This window comes from Homo sapiens, chromosome 8, assembly GCF_000001405.40.
Source record: "Homo sapiens chromosome 8, GRCh38.p14 Primary Assembly".
NCBI lineage: Eukaryota > Metazoa > Chordata > Mammalia > Primates > Hominidae > Homo > Homo sapiens.
In genome coordinates this window covers 103,045,003-103,067,051 of record NC_000008.11, presented here as the reverse complement: position 1 = coordinate 103,067,051, position 22,049 = coordinate 103,045,003, and the positions used below count along the sequence as shown (strand labels likewise).

Below are 22,049 nucleotides of genomic sequence, written 5' to 3'. Positions count from 1 at the left end.
TTTAAAAAATAACAGTTTTGTTTAAAAGAAGATATAAACACATAATACATTTTTTGGTCTGTTTTTTTTTTTCTTTTTTCAGATGGGATCTTACTATGTTACCCAGGTTGGTCTCGAAGGCCTGGGCTCAAGTGATCCTCCCGCCTCAGCCTCCTCAGTTGCTGGGACTACCAACATGTCCCACCACGCCCAGCTACGCCATTTTAGAAAAATGAACCTACCTTGAAAATACTCATCTATTGACTCTATCGCTTCTACCAAATAAAATTAAAATAACTGCTTATTTTCTTCCTCTCTGCAATTTATAGTTTTTGTAAATAACTAGTATCACTGGTTTCTGTATTTCTGCAGCTATAAACATCTGATACACAGCAAGATAATTACTAGCTTGTAGAAATGCCAAGAAGCAAAACACAGATATAATTAGTATAAAACAGGGTAAACAATGTAAATTACTATGTTTACATAACAAATTGAGAACCTCAAAGTAATAAAAAATGATTAAGTTTCATACTTACCCTCCCTTTTCTGTCTATCTTCTTTCAATCATTTTTTTTCTGAAATTCACTTCAATTCTTACTCTACTGGGCTAATAAGTACTTACATCAATAATAGCTGCTGCACTGCTGTCTAGATGTTTATACAATTCATGTAATACTTCTCTCAGTTTCTTCAAAGTTTTCTTATTGGGCTGAAGTAGCATTGCTTGGAAGTTCACTGGCAAGCCATACCTTACAAAAAAGCAGAAATACAGTACGCAATACAAGCAAACATGTAAAGAGATTTTCTTTTCAAAGCAAATATTCTCATACTCTTTAATCATGGTTAACGGGGAGAGAATATCTCCCTTTACCTTTACAAGTTCAACTAATATATATAGAAACTGAAACTAATATACACAAAAAACTTCAATATAAACAGAAACGCAAACCTTTGGTCCCCACTGTCCACTAGAAATCTCTACGCCAATTACTAGGAATTACTTCAATTACCATTCATTTTTTTTTTCTTTTGAGACGGATTCTTACTGTTGCCAGGCTGGAGTGCAGTGGTGCAATCCTGGCTCACTGCAATCTCCGCCTCCTGGGTTCAAGCCATTCTCCTGCCTCAGCCTCCTGAGTAGCTGGGATTACAGGCACATACCACCATGCCCAGCTGATTTTTCTATTTTTAGTAGAGACGGGGTTTCACCATGTTGGCCAGCATGGTCTCAATCTCTTGACCTCATGATCTGCCCGCCTTGGCCTCCCAAAGTGCTGGGACTACAGGCATGAGCCACCACGCCTGGCTTACCATTCAATTTTTAAGGTAATATATGAATATCCTCAGGAAATAAGAAGAAGTAAGGTCAGCAGATACTTTTATGGTAATAGCATGAGGTTACCCACATATAGTTTGAAAATTTGAAAAAATTTAAAAATAGTGAGCATGGTTACATGTAAGTTTTGGGGTGTTTTTTTGTTTGTTTTGTGTTTTGTTTTTTCAGGCGGAGTCTCGCTCTGTTGCCCAGGCTGGAGTGCAGTGGTGCAATAGTGCAGTGGCACAATCTCGGCTCACTGCAACCTCCACCTCCTGGGTTCAAGTGATTCTCTGCCTCAGTCTCCCAAGTAGCCAGCACTACAGGCGCGTGCCACCACACTTGGCTAATTTTTTTATATTTTTAGTAGAGACAGGATTTCACCCTGTTAGCCAGGATGGTCTCAATCGGACCTCGTGATCTGCCTGCCTCAGCCTCCCAAAGTGCTGGGATTACAGGCGTGAGCCACTGCACCCGGCCAAGTTTTGGGTTTTTTAAAACTATTTCTAATATGAGCAACCCATACATTGGACCAGAATATGATTTTTTAAATATCTCAAAATATTAAAATACTTTAGGTTAATATGAAATGATTTCAATAAGTCATTAGCATACTATGTATCCAATGACATATAAAACACCTGAAGGATCTTCCTTTTAAACAAATATTGGTTAATATTTAATCTACTTTTAAGTACCTACACAAGAAAAAGAACCTGAGGGTATGGCAGCATAAATCTCTTTTTCTAAACCTGGTGCTAAAGAACAAGACTAATATGCATTTTATAAGCTGTATGATGATACTGATAATCTCTGTCTCATGATTGGCCCTTTGATTTCTCCAAATCAATTTCCTATTGCTGGACTGTGTTATAATAAAGAGGTCCAATGTAAGGAATCTATGAACTCTTCAGTTCCAAGTTTGGCAATTAACTTGCTTTACCTTAAAACAGACTCAACGAAAACCCGTAATGCTTTCACGTGAATCCATGCAATAAATGCTTCACTAAAATTCACTTTCAGCCACCGTACAAGTGGTCCCTATAAAAAGAAAAAAAATTACCACAAATTTGGTCTTAGAAATAGCAATTAGATAGACCAAATATTTTTTTAAGTGACTACCTATTAGGAATCTATAGAAGAATTAAGTCGCATAATTCACTTTCTACATGTTTCACTATTATTCTCATTATCTCAGATACCTTATCTTAAATTAGATTAAAAGGTTCGCCACTACAGAGAGATCTCAACAGACACTAAAATGCATTGAACCAATTCACTAACACAGAAAAAGGTATATATTTTAATAAAAGTAGTTAAAATGGTACAAAATATAGAAATGCCTTAGGTTGGAAAATCAAAATATAAAGATCTGAATTTACTACACAACACTCTAAAACATTTAATACATGTAAAATGAAATTCAACTTACAAACAACTTCTTAGTAACAAAGATAAACAGTTATGTAGGCAAGTCATTTAACAGCACTAGCTCTTAGTTTTCCCATCTGTAAAAAAGGGAGTTGGTCTAGACATCTAAAACCTCTTTACATTCTAAATTGTATAGCGTTAAGTTCTTTTTAAACTTCAAATATTTAGTAGGATTAAGCGGATTTCAAATACCTCCTCTCTCCATACTTAAAAGATTCAGCTAACACTTCCTTGGATAACATTATTAGGCTCATTTGGATGTACCAAACAATTAATTTAAGCAAAAGGATAGCAAAACAAGTGAAAATCTTGTCAAAATATCTATTTTTTAAAAGGATTTTGGGTTTGCCCTAAAAAGCTGGTTATTTTGACATTACTTGGTTAGAATGAGTTTCCTCCTAGTTGAGATGATATGGCTTATAAAGTACTTGGAAATAATTTTCAATATTTCCCTTAATTTCCTCTTACATTATTAAGAGAAACACATTTTCACTCATTATGTTTCCCTTTCCAAACAAGCTTTTAGTCTTCACAGTAATCCCACACTTGAAGATGGCAAGAAAGTTAACACCATCTTTGATTTTCACAATTCCACTCGTTTCCCATTACACCTAGAACACACCAATTCTCCAATAGCTTAAATACAAATTGCTTCAATAAAAGATTGAGGCATTGAAAAAATCTGCCTCAAGAAAGTGAAAAGTCTTACTGAAAAGAACTTCGTTACTTAACTAAAATCACCCTTCACCTACAAGGATGTTAACCAGAATACTGCATTTAAAATTAATGTCTGATATGGATTTAGGTGGAGTAATTTCTTTTTAAGTATGTATTTTAGGATAACTATTCTATCTACTCTATTCTATCTCAGATAGACATAAGCTTTAGAAGAAAGCTTTCTTAGAAATAGAATAGTTATCTCTAGAACAGTTAAGCTTTAGAGGAAATTCATTCTGATTATTCAATTAAAAAAAAAAACTAAAATCAAATGTCTTAAAACCAAAGCAGATTTTTACTTTCTTTTAAATCAAAGGAAAGCAATACCACTTTTTCTTCTGCTTAGTACTGATAATACTAAATATTAAAAACACATACAAATTGTTTTTTCTTATCAGTAGAAAGCCTGTTCATTTCTTCTTTATCTGCTTTCATCTCCTCTTCATTATACTGGAAGTCACGAACAATGAATCTAAATTTGGGGGAAAAAAAACAAAATTGTTCACATTGTATACAGCTGATCTAACAAAGTAAATAAACAAAAAAACAATAATCTTACTTGTTTTCTCTGGCTTTGTGTCTGAAGTCATCAACTGCCTTCCTAAACAAGGTGACATTACACAGGTAACTGTCTTGGTCCTCTGAAAGAACACTATGGAAAAAAAAAAAGTCCATTTAAAGATTTATACGTATTGCTGTCTTTCATATTAAGGGCAAAATTCAGAAACAGGTGGAAGAGAAAAGTAGGGTATAATAGCCCTTCCCAAATCACCTCAATGCTTTTCAATCTGGATTGCCTCAAACACCGAAGATACTGAATGTTTATGATTTATTTTGCTTATGATACCTTAACACTCTACATTTATTTCTTACTAACCAACAAAATTAGACATTAACTCCAGTAAAGCATCCAAACGCTAAGAACCACACTTTTCAATCAACATCAGCGCCAAGCTGCTTTGTTTCCAGTGTCTCCTTGATAAGCACACTCTTCTTTTCTGGAAGCCTAATTCTTTCTTCCTTTCTCCAGGCCAACTCAGCCCCACTGATGCCCAGCCTAGCCTCTCTGCATTGCCAGTACCTTAAACCTTGGATCTTTCCTTTGCTCCCATGACATCTCTCAATCAAAAACTGACAGGCTGGGTGCAGTGGCTTATGTCTGTAATCCCAACACTTTGGCAGGCTGAGGTGGGTGATTGCTTGAGTTCAGGACTTTGAGACCAGCCTGGGCAACATGGCAAGACTGTGTCTGTACAAAAAATACAAAAACTAGCCAGGCGTGATGGTGCATGCCTGTAGTCCTAGCTACTCGGGAGGCTGAGGTGGGAGGATCACTGGAGCTGGGGAGGTTGAGGCTACAGTGAGCTGAGATTGCACCACTGCACTCCAGCCTGGGTGACAGAGTGAGTCCCTGTCAAAAAAAAAAAAAAAAAAAAAAAAAAAAACCCTGATGAACACAACTGTCTAAATAATCTCTGAATAAAAGTGCCTGTATGCATCTCATGGCTCCATTTTAGGCTTTAGAAGGTCCCAGTGAGGTCAGAACTTCCATTCAGTCACAGCTCCATGGACATCACTAGAAAGACCTTTCCAGACACAACTGCCAGGTAATTTTAATGGTCATTTAAATCTGTAATACCTTGGGTGAAAGTCCACTGTTTGAAAGGTGAATGGTATCGCTTGTGATAGTATGGTCCAAATTTGGCTTTCAGAATTTACCTATAGTGCCTCCTGTATAGAAGTCCTTATGTGAGGTCCACAAGGCTGCACAGGCAGCTGTTCCACAGCGATAACCTTGGGGCAGGGGAATGTTACTGAGGGGAATCTCTTCTCCTTTCTGTCTTTCACATACTGGAGTTCTTCTAATGTTTAGTGTTTTTTAAACAGCTTTACTGAGATATAATCGTTATACAGAAAACTGTACGCATTTAATGTCTATAATCTGAAGTGTGGACATACGCATATACCCATGAAACCATCACCACAATCTAGACAATAAACATACCCCTCACTACCAAAAGGGTCCTTGTGCCCTTTTGTTGGTTGTTTTCTTTGTTTTTTAATGTTCAGTTTTACAATGTGGTACTTCTGAAATCAGAAAAAGGAAATTTTACAAAATGGAGGAATGCTGGGGAATTTAAAGATACTATATTAAAAAAATGTTTAAAGCAAGTGTAGTTTTTCCTGAAGCCTAAGAACCACCTGTTTAGCCAAGTAAATTCAGGAGGCAATTACAGTGTTAATCACAGAATGGCTTTAAGTACTGAATCTACCCTACTCCTCGTCAGCCAGCCAGCAGGGGCACCTCCCTAGTGTATGACCAGCAGACACCTCCAGGAGTACTGATCACTGTAATCGCTGACATGCAGAGAAAACTCAAGTACTCTGGATTTAGAACCTCCTGTTAAACTGTATCTTCTCAAAATGATTACCCTTAATTCTTGCTCCTGGTGTCCATCAAACCCAATGAAGGGCAGCTACCAAGTGGACAGAGCTCGATTTAAAAAACCGTTTAAGGATCTTCTGCTTTGCCAAGATTTACTCAGTGATGTGTGAACTGCTTGAGATCAAAACAAATCCAAATCTAACTTGACAGGCTATTTCAGGGCCACAAATAATGTTTTACTGTTATCATAGTAATCTTTTAAACTTATCCAACACTTTGCTGTTTTGAAGACCCTTCCAAAAGCATTTGGTGCTTGACATGGCCCTGTGTCAATGAACAGGTTACCTATTAAGCAGGTTCCTAGCTATTGTGCAGAGATCTGGGACACAGCAAATTCCTATGGCTTACTCAAAATCCTGATGGTGAAAAAAGCCAAGATAAAACCTCCATCTTATCTTATAACTAAATCCTACTATGCCACCTTATTATGAAAAACAAATAAAAGCCACTTGCTTTCCCTCTTTCCCCTAAGGAAAGGTATTTCTTAAAACTGTTTAAAAAATAAACCACGAGTCCTTACTATAACAGACTTGTAGTCATTTAACATGTACTGAGACTCTGTAATGCAAGCACTTGCTAGATATTAGTATAAAACTAAGACAGCATTTCCTGATCTCCAGGTATGGGTTTAGTAAAGGAAACAGGCATACACAAGTAACTGCAATATAGAGTTGTAAGTGCTGCAATAGAAAATATACATGATACACTGGGGAATTAGTAACTTTATCTGAGGGGATTCAAAGGAGTTTCACCAAAGTGGTGATACCAGGTGGAAGTTTGAAAGAAAGACAAAAAAGAGAAGAACGTTCCAGACAGAACCCCATATGCAAATGAATATAGATGTGGAATAACATGGTGCATCTGAGGAATTGCCAGAAATAAGTATAACCGGGGCTCAGCATGGTAGCTCATGCCTGTAATCCCAGCACTTTGGGAGGCCAAGGTAGGCAGATCACTTAGAGGTCAGGAGCTCGAGACCAGTCTGGCCGACATAGTGAAACCTCACCTCTACTAAAAATACAAAAATCAGCTGAGTGTGGTGGCACATGCCTGTAATCCCAGCTACTTGGGAAGCTGGGGAAGGAGACTCACTTGAACCCGGGAGGCAGAGGTTGCGGTGAGCCAAGATCACACCTCTGCACTCCAGCCTGGGTGAGAGAGACTGTGTCTCAAAAAAAAAAAAAAAGAAAGAAAGAAAAACAATATATATATACATATATGGCTGGGACATAGGGTACAAGAAGAGGGTGTGTGGGTGTGTGGGTGTGTGTGTGTGTGTGTGCGTGCTGGGGGCAGGCAGTCAAAATGGGGAGGGACAAGCAGGGTTTTAGACGGGAAAGCAACACATTTGTATGTCACAAAGATGAAAACAGCAGCAATGTGGAGGACTGATGAGAGGAGAAAAGGAGACCAGCTAGGGTCAATTACCATGGTCCAGGCAAGGGATGAGGGAGTCAGAGCTGGAGCAGTGGCAGTGGGTCTTGGGGGAGTGGGGAGAGTAGATTTAACCCTATGAAATTGTAGATATTTGACCATTTTCTGACCTACAAAACATCAATTTTTAACGGTTCAACCAAATACTATGGAAGGTGGAAATGACATAACTGATTAGACTATTTCAGGTGGGGGGCCGGTGGGGGGAGGGGGGTGCAAGGGCAAAGGAAGATTCCAAAATCACTGACTACCACACTTGCGGTTTGGATCACTGGGCAGATGTTGCTGCCATATACTACAGGGCAACTAGAGAGTTTGAGTCTGAGATTGGGGTGATAGTGTCAGTTACCTAGGAAATACCACATGGAGTGGTCCAGTAGGAACCAGGTATGTGGTTGGGGGGAAGGCTGGCTACAGACGAAGATTTAGCAGTCCGAAAACTGCAGGTGAGGCTAGAGCCATGGGTGTGGTTGAAGTGGTACTGACAGGAGAACAGACCATCTCCCTCAGAAACTCTGAAACATAGAGAAACTTCTGGACAGTGGCCAGTATCATTCTTCCTGCACTTCTTAGCTAGGCTCCTCTGCTTCACTGGGGACTCCAGATCCCTAAAGAAAAACCTCTGTGAAGCATCCATGAGTTTGTGATGTTGCTTCCAATGACAGAGAAAAGGCAAAAGTTAACCAGTGATCTGACTCAATCAGACTATTTTAACAAGCAAAAGCAGACAAAAAAAAAAAAAATAGGAAAGTGGTAATTCTGAAAGGACAAGTGAAAAGCACCTCTTTCTGAACAGTGTTTCAACAAAAAAAAGCAGAACAGCAGCACAGCCTCCACTTCTTTGGCCACAGCCTTGGCATGGCATTTATACACATTGCTGCATTTAGCCTCACAGCAATGGTAGTATTTCAAAACCGTCCAATCTTTGTAGAATATTTTATAAATAGTTATATTTTGTGAACTTTAAAATTCTTTCAGGTTTGAGGACAGTTAGAAGAATAGATTGAAAAATATTAGATTGAATATTAAAGTGAATATTTTTCAATCTACCTCAAAATTCCACTTTCATCTTCACTGCTCCCAACAATAATCACTCAAGTTATCATACCAAAAAGTAATGTGTTACTACCTATAATTAATTAACTTGTGTAAAGCACATAGAACAAAGACTAGCTCACAGTAATTACTCAAAAATGCTGGTTGTGATGATAAGCCAAAAATTCAGCATCAGGTCATAGAGATCTTTCCTAAATGGCAGACAATATTCCAGGCTCACTCAAAAAAGCCTATTTGCCCCTACATGAACTGCACATACTCTTGATGGTGCTATTTGAGCTAGTGCTATGTTCTCTCTGACTAAATTTAAACAGGTAAGTTTTTGAGTCAGTGATTCCAAATGTACTTTGAACTGAGAAATAGGTAGAAAAGATGTTTTCACTGAGCAAGGAAAGGCTGGAAGCTCTCGGAAGATTAGTGTGCACTTACAAGTCACTTGCAAACAAGTCTTGACTGCATTAAACTGTTCCCTTCCTGAAATTTGCCCTTTAAACTACTAAAGTGACTGTCCAAAGATCTAAATCTCTGATGGAATATTTTTAAAGTCTTTCTATCAGAGTAAATCTGAGCTTACTTAATGAGCCTACAGACCATCCCCCTGGACATCTGGGTTGGCGTATGTCCATCTCTGGAGGACATTCTGGGTGCACCACGTCCTCACTCTCCTCCTCTACCTGCCTCCTAGACACAGAGTCAACCTCTACGGCTCTAATGCCCTAAAGATCTGTCAGTATCAACAGCCTAAGTGAGCCATCAATATCAAGACACAACTGTAGTCTTCAGTTTACCATGTGAAGAGCTGGTATGAAGGAAAGATATTCCTCCAAATGAAAAAAAAAACATTCATGATGAGCACAAGTTTGTTGTTAAGTTCCTAAAAGATCAACATTTGTGAAAATACAGTAACATTATCTTGTATTTTGAATACTCCATTAAGTCTTAAAATAACTTCATAATATATACAAGGAAGGTGCTATGCTCCATTTACAGACAAAGAAAATGAGGCCCAGAGAAGTTAAAAGACTTACCCCAGGTCACACAGCAAGTTGGTAGCAGAACTGAGGCAGGAAATAGGGTCTGGAGGCAGGGAACCTAAGGTTGTTTCACCCCGGTTTCCTAGAACTAAATTGAAAGGAAAACCCTAACTTTCCACGCCTAAGTAACAAAAGGACCAGAGGCTACTCCTTTTGACCTTTCCTGCATGGCAGATGGGAAATTGGCTGTCTGCAACAAATCAGACTGATTGGGAGGCCGAGTCTTCATTCGCATAGAAGTATAACTTTGTAACTTCACCCTAGCCTCTGATTAGTTGCCTTCTGCAACCAATCAGATATTTGCACAGGAGTGTGACCTTTGTAACTTCACTTCAGCCTCTGGTTGGCTGCTTTCTGCAACCAATGAGGCTCACTGCAGGCTACCACGTCATTTACATGAGGTGAGCATGAAGTGGCCAATGGGAAACTTGTAGGAGTTATTTGGACCCAAGAAGATTCTGTATCCAGGCCCTTGAGCCACTGCTCAGGTCTGCTCCTACACTGTGGAGTGTACTTTCTTTCATTTTTAATAAATCCCTGCTTTCGTTCTTTTGTTGCTTCATTCTTATTTTGCTTTGCTGGGCATTTTGTCCAATTTTTTGTTCAAAACACCAAGAACCTGGACAACTCGAAGTCACAACCCTACCAGTGACGGACCCTACCAGTGACAGACTCTACTGGTGACAGAACCAGCAATAGAACTCAGATCCCTGAGTCCAGGACTCTTTCCATCATACTAAGCTACTTCCCACATGACACAATGAAACTGGAAAAGAAAATATTTCATGGGCCTGACCTTACTAATTCCACTTCTTTACTGCCTCCTATATCTTCCACCCTGCTGCCTCCCCTTGAAGCACATATATATCTATAAGAATCCTTTGGGGTGGAGATACACTGTATTTATATTTTCTCAAAGAATATCTGGTGTGGCAATGGCAGAACACAGAAAAATGACATGGAATAGTGTTAAAAGGGTACAGGACCTGGAGCTAAAAGATGTGAGTTCTAGCCCTAACTCTGCCATTGGACACTTTACACAGCCATATGCCTCAGGCAACTATTTAAGCATTTTAACTTCTTCTTCCTTGAGAATAAGAATGATAACTGTCCATACTTCTTCACAGACTTGTTGTAAATTTCAAATTAGACAATGCATGTTAAATCTATAAATTTAAAAAGTGCTTAATAAAAACAGGTTTGTTTTTTAAATAAAAGGAACACACAAATTAGGTAAAATCTAAGCTCAAAGTGATGGTGAACATCTGGAGATCAACACGGCAGTCCAGTAGCCATTCTGGTACACTTCCTTTGCCAAGTAAAATGAGGAATTATAGACACATAGTAGGTATGCAATAATGAATAAAGAATTTTCAAAAGGCAGCACAGTGAGGCAGAAAAAGTACCACACCAAAGACCTAGGTTCTAGTTCTAGCCCTGCCACAAATGAGATGTGTGATCCTGGGCAAACTATTAATACCTCACTGGCCTCAAACTTCTAAGTCTATAAACAGGAGGTTGTCAAACAGACTGTGCCAAGTCCCTTCTAGGTCTAAAATTATTACAACTAGAGTTCATAGAACTCACTCATGAGGTTAATTTATCACAAAGGCAAGACAGCAAACATATTTCCTAAGCCAACATCCAAACTCTAAAAGGAATTCTAGGAAACAAATGGTTTTACAAAGACTTCTACTTACTTGCTAGACCTTGGAACTACCATTTCGGCTAGTGTTTCATACTGCTTAATCCAGTCGTTGTGGTTTAACCTGCAGAAAAGGTACAATACACATTGGAAAAGAAAAACAAGTCCTATTTCCTGCCATATCCAGGAAGAGAAAAAATTATGAGACAAATAGGAAATCTGGCTATAGTAAGTATACTTCAACTCTATTTAACAAAAAAAATTCGGGTTTCCTACTGAGAATGAATTTCAAATACACTGAGTAATGCAGGAAAAACAGATCACCACCCTACCTCCAGTAACCATTGCAAAAGAGGCACATCCTAGAACTATGTTCGGAAAGGAAGTAAAGCACAGTATAGATTCTAAATTGTTTTCAAGCTGCATAGTTCATATGTATTGTGCCTCATTTTTTAAAAATGGTCATGCTAAAATCACTATCATTCCTGCTCAGTGGCCATTATGAAGGACTGAAAAAAAACTATATTTATGGAAAGCACAGAGTACCATGAGGTAGTAAGTAAATGAAGTGACAGTAAACTATGTTGCCACAAAACATTGTGCAACAACCTTCTCTAGAGGCCACTGGCTTCCAGGGGTGTGGGGAGAGACAACTACGTTTGAGATTGAAAACAAAGAATTATAGTGTGTATAGGCCAGAATAGAGAATAATTCATCATGTAAGATGTCCTAGGTCCTATGTTTCAATTACAAGGTACAGAAAACTGTAAAAATTTCTGGTTTTGAACCCAAGTTTTAAATAAAGGTTGAGTGAGTCAAATATTTCATCTGGGCAAAAGTTATTTTCCTACATAGTATAAAAGCACAGATACACAGAATTTGTTATAAATAATCAGTGTTTCAGTGTAGCAGACGGGAGTTATGTAACTAGAACACAAAATAAAATTTCTGGAGTGAAATCCTTAGATTTAAGGCCTTCTCCCTGTGCAAAGAAAAATCCAAAATTTTTTCTAGCATACTGCAATAAAGGGGAAAAAAATGCAGAATTGAGATACTACTGTAGCCACTGTAAATTCCATGGAGGCATCATTTTCTAGTACTCCAAATCTCTGAACCAGATAAAAATGCAGAGCACAGCAAGGAAGTCTTCACACAATGATACTCTGAAAAAGACCCAAATCTCCCACCTGAGTTTGGATCCCCCAAACATTCCCTGATAGCAAGACTCAGTGTAAGTCAAAAGTGAAACCATTAATAGTGCTACACAGACACACACAAAGTCCAGGTCTTCCTACAAGTACCCAAAGGTTTCATTTCATTTAAGATTAACTATGATCAAATATTAAATAACATAGAAGGCCTAATCCTAAGGAGATTTCAAAGGTTATCTAGTCCAGGGGTTAGCAAACTATGCCCATAGCCAAGCCTGTTTTGTAAATAAAGTTTTATTGAAACAGCCACATTCATTCGTTCACATATCATCTATGGCTACTTCAGCTATAACCACAAAGTTGCCACAGTGGAGTAGTTGTGACAAAGATCACATTGTTTACAAAGCCTACAATACTTACTATCTAGCCCTTTATAGAAAAAAATTGCTAATCTCTGATCTAATCCATTCTTTGCTTCTTACAGTGCTTAATTAAACCTAACCAGTCATAAAGATTTTTTCAGGAAAAAAACGCAAAGACCTTCCTATTTTGAGAAATCTAAAATCTGTATTTTTTAAACAATCAATAATTTAGCATTACTTATGTTTGAATGAGCCAATTCTACCAAGCTGCTAAATTTGATTTGGAAACTCAATTTATAACTGAAGTCTCCATTGCCAGGTTATGATCTAATTTCTACTTTATGTGCCACATGAGCAAATGTTGATGACAGAATGAATGGCAAGGTTATATTCCTTTTACGCTTGGATTTTATGGAAAACTTCAAACTACAATACTAGATACTAACATTTTTCTTGTATTTTAACAAGTAAAACCTTTTATAATAGAAAGACTTACTTGGGAACTACTACCAGTAATGTGACGAGATACTCTGAATCAAGAACAAAGTCATCCTTCTTCACAATTTCTGCTAGACTTCTAGTTAGCAAACTTCCTCTGAGGAATTAAAACAAATCATTAGGCTGATAATTATGTGCTTCTGTAACACAAGTAAAGAAACAGCAGGCTAATCATTTTCACATATACTATATATACATTGAGAGGGATTAGTCTTAGTCAACATTTTTACTTTGTAAGAAGTCACCATTTAGCTGAATATATCCTACCCTTGCAACCAACGAAATATCTTCTACCAAAATTTGCCTCTAGTGTTTTGTGTTTGCTTTAATTATTATAACTCAGCTCTTCTCTTGCCTACATATATAATATCTTGACTGGAAAACTATCTACTCATTAGATATCAATTAAAGTCTATTCCATCATATAATTATGAAACTATGTCATCTAAGCACAATACCTTTAGTGTTCTTCCCTCCCTTGGGTATCATTTGATACTAGGCAATTTTGGTAGCTAACCCAATAATTAACTCTTTCAAATCAGTCCTCATTTGTCTTCCAGTAATCACTTTCCCATAATAAATATGTCTTGCCCTGTTTGTATCACTCACAGTATCCAACCAACTTTCCCTCTAGGATATGAAGGCACAACTTGAATACTTTCATGCTTAAAGTTGCACTTGAAGTAGTCATAGTACAAGGGGATCAACCAAAAAAATTCAGTCCTATTTTAAAAAACCTAACAAGTGAAAAACCTAAATTCTGAAAACAGATAAGAGAATAACTATTACATCATAAAAGGATTATTCTATAGTTAAGTGATAGGTAATTACTATGCAGTTAAACTATGATTTCATTTAAAACAATTAATTTTAGACTATTTTTCAGTGAAATATCAAATGGATAAAGGAATAAGCCAGGACCCAGTTCACAAGTATTATTTATAAAACAAGTATAATAAATCAGCCTCACATCTGTTTGGACTAGTCTGAATTCTATAAACTTACCTTAGTGAGCTTTTCTCCATGAAGTAAAAGAAATACCATTTTGATTACAGAACAACATAAACTGAAACTAACTAAATCCCAACAATATCTCCTTCGGTGCATGCTAGTATGCTTCCCCAGTTCTTAGTACTCAAATATACTTGATCTGCTTACGCATTCTTTCGTTCCAAATTCTGAAGATTTCCTTTCAGGTTATTGTATGCAGATGCTCGAGATTTCAGGTCATTATCAATCTGAGTTACTCCCTTTGAAAAAGAAAAAGAAGAAAAATAGATAAAATTTTCCTAAATCTGCCTCTACTAATACTATCAAAGTAGCTAAACTTTAACTTCTACAAAAAAACCCACTAGTTTCTAGTGTAAGAATATTCTATTATTTTAAAAGCACGACTTTAGGAGGTCATTTAAAAAACAGCCGACTTCATTTTAAATATAATTTCCACATAAATCTTTTCAACTAAAAATAATGTTTTAGTCCACATGTATTTTAATTATATTACTTCTTAAACCATGGAAATGGAATCTAGGCCACTGGGTTTGGAGATTACTATTTACAAGGCTTCAATTCACAAGACTGAAGGATATTTTCCAAAGTAAACTAAATTACATGAAGAGTTTTGACTACTGCAAACATCACTATTACACAGAGTATTTTTCTATGAAATTAAAATTATAGTTGAATTTATTCATAAATGTTACAAAAGCTGTTTTTCTCAGAAGAATACTAAACTAACTACATGGGGAGAAAATGTGAAGTAAACAACATTCGAAGAACTGACTTTAACATAGCTCTAGCATTATTAGCTGTGTAGCACGAGGGTAAGTCACTTCACCTCTCTAAGCCTGCTTTCCTATCTACAACAGCATCAGGAAGCAGATGATCAAATCCTTAAGGATACAGAAAAAAAGGCTCAGTCATAGTAAGAACACCACTTTATATTATCAAGTAATGTAAATAATAGTTTCTTAAACTATAGTCATCAAATTACATGATGACTTTAGTTAAAATCTTTGATAGTCTATTTATTTACATTTAACTATACAGCACACCGCATAACTAAAGTTACTGGGAGCCAAGGAAAGTCTGTCCAATAATTTAAACTACACTTCTTGCCCCAGCCAGGTCAAATGCTGGCAAACAATTAACAGGTCCTTGTCTATTTGTCTCATTATAGTTACTGTTAAGACTTTTATTCCACAAACAGATCTTGGGGGGAAAAAGACTTTTTTTTCCTCTCAAGTTCTAGGATTTCCTTTCAAGTTCAAGGATTTCTCAATATAAAAGGAGCTCTTAACTTGGTGGGTTCATGCATCGGCTTCAAGGTCCATGTACTCCCTGAAACTACATAAAATTATGTGGCACACGAATACGGGAATTTTTCCAGGCAGAGGATCAAAACTAAATAGTCCGAAGGGGTCAGAGAATCCATAGAGTTTAATGTTTGAACAAGTATTGTATGCACATAAACATACTTCAGTGACTACTATCACCTACCTGAATGACTAAGAAATCTTAATAGACTCCAATTTCCTATTCTACACAATCTTGGGTACCCTTAAAATTTGTATAAATACAGAATTTTCACACTTTCTTAAACACTGTTGATGTAATATTTAAGTTAATTACATAACTAAGTATTCAACTTAGATAATCTACACATTAAAGTGTTATACTTTTTAACATCTTTTAATGTCTAAGTTGTAAGGATTTCTTCTGTGAAATATAATTAAGTTGCCTTATCAAAACCTAAAAAGTATTTCATAGTGAAATTATAAAATAAGCAAAGCCACTACAAATCAATGTGTCCTACTTGTCTCAAGTATTATCTTACCTTGGCAATTATTTCAGAAATATTTTTCAGGGACTGCTTGATTGGATATTTGGCCATGTCCCACTGGAACCTTGTTATATAAGTAACCAAGTCCACTGAAATAAGGGAATAAATTAATTACTGAAGAAAAACAATAGAATTGTTCAGTTTTTTACACAGCGATATATTTTAATGCTGAAATTGGCATTGAGGAAATCAGCAAAGATGTCATTTCTGAAGAATCCTGATTAAATGTGAACTATATTAAGTAACATGGATTAATCAAAATTTCTACCTTGTAATCTCTTCTCCTTACTCAAACTTTAATACATATTAAGATGCTCCTTCTAATTTGATTACTTTAAAAATGAAATATGTACATATTCCTAATATGCCTCATATGTAGGAGACATAAAGATTAAGAAACTACTTCAAATTATCTCCTCAATAAGTAGAATTTCATAAAAGTATGTTCTTTCTTTGATAACTTACCCAAACAAACTGAAAATAAACTTGTCTGTTAAAACCATGTGATGATTGTTTCCAGGAGTCCACATTTTAACAATTTTCAAAACATGGACCCTTTCACTTTCAAATGGAAAGAATAAAACATGTAGAGCTAAAAAAATACTCAACAACTTATTCCTTGGAAGTTTAGTAGTCAAAGTGACTTCACCCCTAAAGGGATCAAGAACGGTGAAACCAAATGGTAATTATGGCAGCGCCAACTGACGGAAGTAATTCATATAAAAATATCTTTCTCTTCTCAATATCTCCTTACATAATACCAGTCAGTCAACAACACGGATGGTATTTCCAAAAGCAACTCTATCTAGATGCACTGCCCCTCTTGGTCAACCACCATTCCACCTACTAGACTGACTGCCCTAGTTCATAAAATACGTAGAAGATCAGTAAAGGCAACACAAATTAACTTATTAATATCTAACATACCTTCGTTGTTTCTCAAAACACAAATTAACAGACACAGCAAACAATGAGATCAGAATTACTTGATAACAAAGAGCAAGAATAAGTTACTACATTTTTAACTGATTAAAAATTTATTGAGCAGCTATTATTTGCAAGAAGAAATGAGATTTCAGGAACACTGGATTTAAAATATAGTAACCTTATTAGAGTAGGTGATCCTGTAGAGAATGAAAGGAAAAGGTTATAAAGGGTTATATCCTTCTTCCTTTTTTTTTTGAGACAGGGTCTTGCTCTGTCACCCAGACTAGAGTACAGTGGTACAATCGTAGCTCACTGCAGCCTTGAACTCCTGGGCTCAAGCAATCCCCCCTCCTCAGCCTCCTGACTAGCTGAGACTACAGGCATATGCCACTACTTCCAGGTAACTTTTTTCTTTTTCTTTATTTTTGTTTGGGTTTTTTAGAGACAGGGTCTCCCTGTGTTGTCCAGGCTTGTCTTGAACTCCTGCACTCAAGAGATCCTCCTGCCACAGCCTCCCAATGTGCTGGGATTACAGGCATGAGCCACCATGCCCAGCTCATTATTTCCTGTTATAAAAACGTATCACTAGAGATGGGCTGATTTTAAATGAAGCAAAATGCTAAAATGACATTTCATAAGAAAACAAGAAATGCAAGTACAAATGACAACAATGGGGTCAGAATCATCTTTCTAAAGTCATTACTACATAGAGCAAACTCTATGTAAATACTGGCTTCTAGCTACAGAGAAGTCAGTAGGCTATTTTACGGGTATTAAGTAAAGAAATGCCAAAATCATACTGAGGGGGCACTATTCTGCAATAAAATTAATAATTTCTGTTCTAAAGCTTTAACAGTTACATACTATTAAATACAAAAACCTACATAAGACAGCAGGTATTCAACTGGAACAATGCTGAGATATACAACTTGGAAACTTACTTGTAAATGAGTGAATAAATAGAACCTGGAAAGAACTAAGACAAACCTTTACAATACTGCTCTTGCAGGAGACTTGGCATCATATTATAAGCTATATTACATATTATGTAAGACTGTCTTCTATGAGATTATGTTTCAGGGAACAGGATGTACCTGGAAGTATCACCAAATTCAGTAATAATAATTGTATTTTAATGGCTTTCTATTGTATTTAGTGTCCTTTTCTGTAGACTTTTTTACATTACTTTTTGTTTCTGTAGCTTAGTTATTTGCTTTGTATGAGTTAATAATGATCAATCATGAGCATTAGCTTACCTCCATTAGCCAACAGATTCTCTTGAACTTTGTCTTTGCTATCTTCCAATACATCAGCCATGTATTGAGCTACTTTCTTAACCACTCTGGGGAAGAAAAAATATCAACAACCATTCTCAGGAAAAAGATCTAAATTCCATTCTATACAATGAACATATTACATAAAGACATGAATTTGACTATATGTTCCCATTATACCTATCCATATAATACACAATAAATGGATCTTACCTTATAATGTTTTAAGGATAAAATGGACCAAGACTTTGTTACATGCAAAAATCAACAGAGTAACTGTAGGGTTTTAAGGAGACTACATGCAATGTGTCTCCTAGTCTAGAAAGTAAGTCATGGGAAGCTAGTGAGAAAGAGTCTGTAAATAGCCATATATTTATATGCCAAGAAACTAGACAATTTAAGGACTGAGAACAAAGGAGGAGGCTGAGAACTAGCATTCACTATGTTCCTATGACATGCAAGACACTGTGCTTTCCCTTAGGAAGAAAGGGACCTGACAGGCAAGAGAACGTAAGCAATAGTCATGATGAAAAACTAAGTCCTACATTATTAATTCATTAACTGTTTATTGAGCATCTACTATTTACAAGGAGCTATGCTATAGAGGAAGCCATAATGCCAAAACTATTAGGTTGGTGCAAAAGTAACTGTGGTTCTGGCCATTACTTTAGGGGGGAAAAAAATGGCAAAAACTCCATTACTTTTGCACCAACCTAAACCAAGTCACCTACATATGACCTTGTCAGTTCTTTCATTTATAAGACACTGAGGTATAAAAGAATAAGTGGCTTATTCAAAGTCACAAGACCAGTTAACGGCAGAGCTGTGACTAGAAACATGTTGTCCTGACTTTGGAGTCCAGCGTTCTCTTCCTTATTCCATGTCTGCCTCTAGGCCCTGGGTGGGATTCAAAATCATACAAGACAAAATCACTACCTTCACACATTGCTTAAAATCTCATTGGAAAGATCCAAAAATATATAAATTACTAAATACAAAGCAATCTGAGGTCAGTGCCAGCTGAGATTGCCAGGTTGCAGACAGAGAGAGAGAAAGGAAAAAGGGATCACTAGCAGCTACCCAATCAAGAAAGCCCAAAGGCTCATGAGTAGGGCGATGAAGGACAGAAATGGTTTTACAAGGATGATTACATGGGAAGAAAGCATATCGTTGCCATGGGGCATATTATGAGTCATGATAAGAGGTGGAAAAGCAGTAGGCATCCAGAGAATGGTGAGAAGTCCAGACTGATGGAAGCAGCAGGCCGAGAAGTAGGGGAGCTTAGGCTAGGAAAGTGGGATGCCAGATTGCAGATACACAGCCTCTGAAGCCACACTCTAGACAGGGACATAACACAGTCGAAACAGGGCTCAGGACAAGTATTCTGATGACTACATGCTCAACAGCTAGGAGGGGAAACTGGAAGACAAATTAAGAAATTCCTGTAATGGTTTTTTTTCCTTAAAAAAAAAATGTGTGTGTGTGTGTGTGTGTGTGTGTGTGTGTGCGCGCGCATTTTTTTTTTTTTTTTAAGAGAGAGTCTCACTCTACTGCCCATGTTGGAATGCAGTGGTGCAATCACAGTGCATTGCAGCTTTGAACATCTGGGCTCAAGCGATCCTCTTGCCTTGGCCCCTCAAGCAGGAGGGATTACAGGTGTGAGCCACAAGCCTGGCTTGTTAACAGTTTAAACAAGAGCCAATATGAGCCAGGAAAGGTGACAGAAGAGCTAAATTTAAATGACAATCCTATGCTGAGTGGTCTCAAACCTAAAAATCAGAACAATTTCAGAAATAATGATGTAAGTCCTAAATCTTCAACATGTTTAACTTGAGGTTTATACATATACTTGCCTATGTCTCCAAAATTCACCCATTCCTTCAAAAGGGACAAATCATTCTCATAAAATTTGGCAAGCATCTTGTAAACAGAACCATTTGCTACGAACATTCTAAAATGTTGCATGTTTACCCATAGAAGTACTTCAGAGTGTAGAATCACCTGGTGTCAAATTTATAAACGTAATGTTGCATAACCCAGAACTTCAAGATCTCCGTATGCCTATTTACAAGAGGATCTGTGTCAATGTACACAATGTCACCTCAAAAATATCTGCTCTAATGATTACATTTTTAAGAAAGTACAAACTATGATTTACCACATATACCATATTCTACAATATTTGGCCTTTAACACTTGGAGCATTTAAGTCATTAAGCTATCATCTGTCAATACTACCAAAGTCTAACAACGACATGATTTTTAAATTCCTCTTATCATTCAGGAGGACTGAAGAAGATGTGCTTGCCGAACAATGAAGAAAAGAACAGCTGACACACTGCCTAGGTAACTTTAAATTCTACTCACCAAACTAACTACATTTGTCCTTAATACTTTTCAGATTCCTTCCCTAAAAAATCTGAGCTGGCTAGGCACAGTGACTCATGCCTGAAATCTCAGCATTTTGGGAGGCTGAGGTGGGAGGATCGCTTGAGGCCAAGAGTTTGAGACCAGCCTGGGCAACATAGCAAGACTCCATGTCCACAAAAATAAAAATAAAAAAATTAGCTGGGTGTGGTGGTGCAAGCCTATAGTCCTAGCTACTCAGGAAACTGAGGTAAAAGGACTGCTTGAGCCCAGGAGTTCCAGGATGCAATGAGCTATGATTGCACCACTGCACTCTAGCCTGGGTGACACCAAGACCCTGTCTCTGAAAAAAAAATAAATAAAATTTAAAATCTGAGCAAACTTTAAATTATATTCAGGACATCCCATTAACAATTTAAAGATAAAGAACTATAAAGCCATCAAGGTGACTAATAAGGGTATAAATAAATGTTAATAATTATATTCTCAGGGACCTCCTTTCTCAGTGTCTCTTTGGTTGTCATAACTTGTAACTGTAATGAGGTAGATGAGACCTCAGGGAAGACTCACTCCAGGGATGACAACTAAAAAAAAAAGTTCCCTCACATTTTTTTCTTTTCTTTTTTTTTTGAAACGGAGTCACGCTCTGTCACCCAGGCTGGAGTGCAGTGGCGCTACCTCAGCTCACTGCAAGCTCCGCCTCCCGAGTTCACACCATTCTCCTGCCTCAGCCTCCCGAGTAGCTGGGACTACAGGCGCCCGCCACCACACCTGGATAATTTTTTGTATTTTTAGTAGAGACGGGGTTTCATCGTGTTAGCCAGGATGGTCTCGATCTCCTGACCTCATGATCCGCCCACCTTGGCCTCCCAAAGTGCTGGGATTACAGGCGTGAGCCACCATGCCCGGCCCATTTTTTTCTTAATTAAAAATGTATAAGCAAGGAACCAAGAGACTATTCTTTCCATCAGTTAGTGCTTTGAGTGCATCATAATTATTTTCACTATATTTATAATAATTCATAATAATAATTTGCTCTATATGAATATATGGAATTATAATCCTAAAAGTTGCTTTTCCTTTCATCTTCTCTTTCCATTCTAAGAGCCAAGTGTCTGGTCCCAACTGAGCTTTTACTATCTCTTAACTAACCTACTGTGAAACTGCTAAGTGGCCTTCTTGACTCCAATATTAAAGAACATCAATACATCCTTAGATCTGTTTACTTCCTCACTACATGGTGTTATATTAAAAGATCTCTCTCTCTCTCTGTAACCCTGACCTCAGTCTCTATTGCCACAGCATCGCTTTCAGGTGGTTCTATCAATTCAGAAAAGCATTTTAACAGCAGAAATGAGAAAATCTTCTGGATAGATTTCAAGAAAAAATTCCCTTCTATCCAAGCCTATTATTCCCTTAAAGCTTCAATCAAATGTACATTTCTGAGAGTCTCCAAATTCTGTACTTTACAAATTACACCTGTGTATCTAAACTCTAAAATAAAATCTTTGTATCCCCAGAGTTGAAGGAACTGTAGACTGATTCTGCCAACTAATCAAAATGCAGTT

General features: G+C 37.1%; 1 protein-coding gene across 1 annotated transcript in view; it reads right to left on the bottom strand.

Moving 5' to 3' along the window:
* ATP6V1C1 (ATPase H+ transporting V1 subunit C1) overlaps positions 1-22,049 on the bottom strand; it is a 51,969-nt gene that overhangs the window by 6,000 nt on the left and 23,920 nt on the right. Inside the window, exons 4-12 of the mRNA NM_001695.5 lie at positions 18,097-18,182; positions 15,908-16,002; positions 14,230-14,321; positions 13,070-13,168; positions 11,116-11,184; positions 4,005-4,097; positions 3,824-3,917; positions 2,241-2,338; positions 605-731 (exon numbers count right to left, since the gene is read on the bottom strand). Of these exons, the coding sequence (NP_001686.1) occupies positions 605-731; positions 2,241-2,338; positions 3,824-3,917; positions 4,005-4,097; positions 11,116-11,184; positions 13,070-13,168; positions 14,230-14,321; positions 15,908-16,002; positions 18,097-18,182 (853 nt within the window). The remainder of the gene's footprint in view (positions 1-604; positions 732-2,240; positions 2,339-3,823; positions 3,918-4,004; positions 4,098-11,115; positions 11,185-13,069; positions 13,169-14,229; positions 14,322-15,907; positions 16,003-18,096; positions 18,183-22,049) is intronic.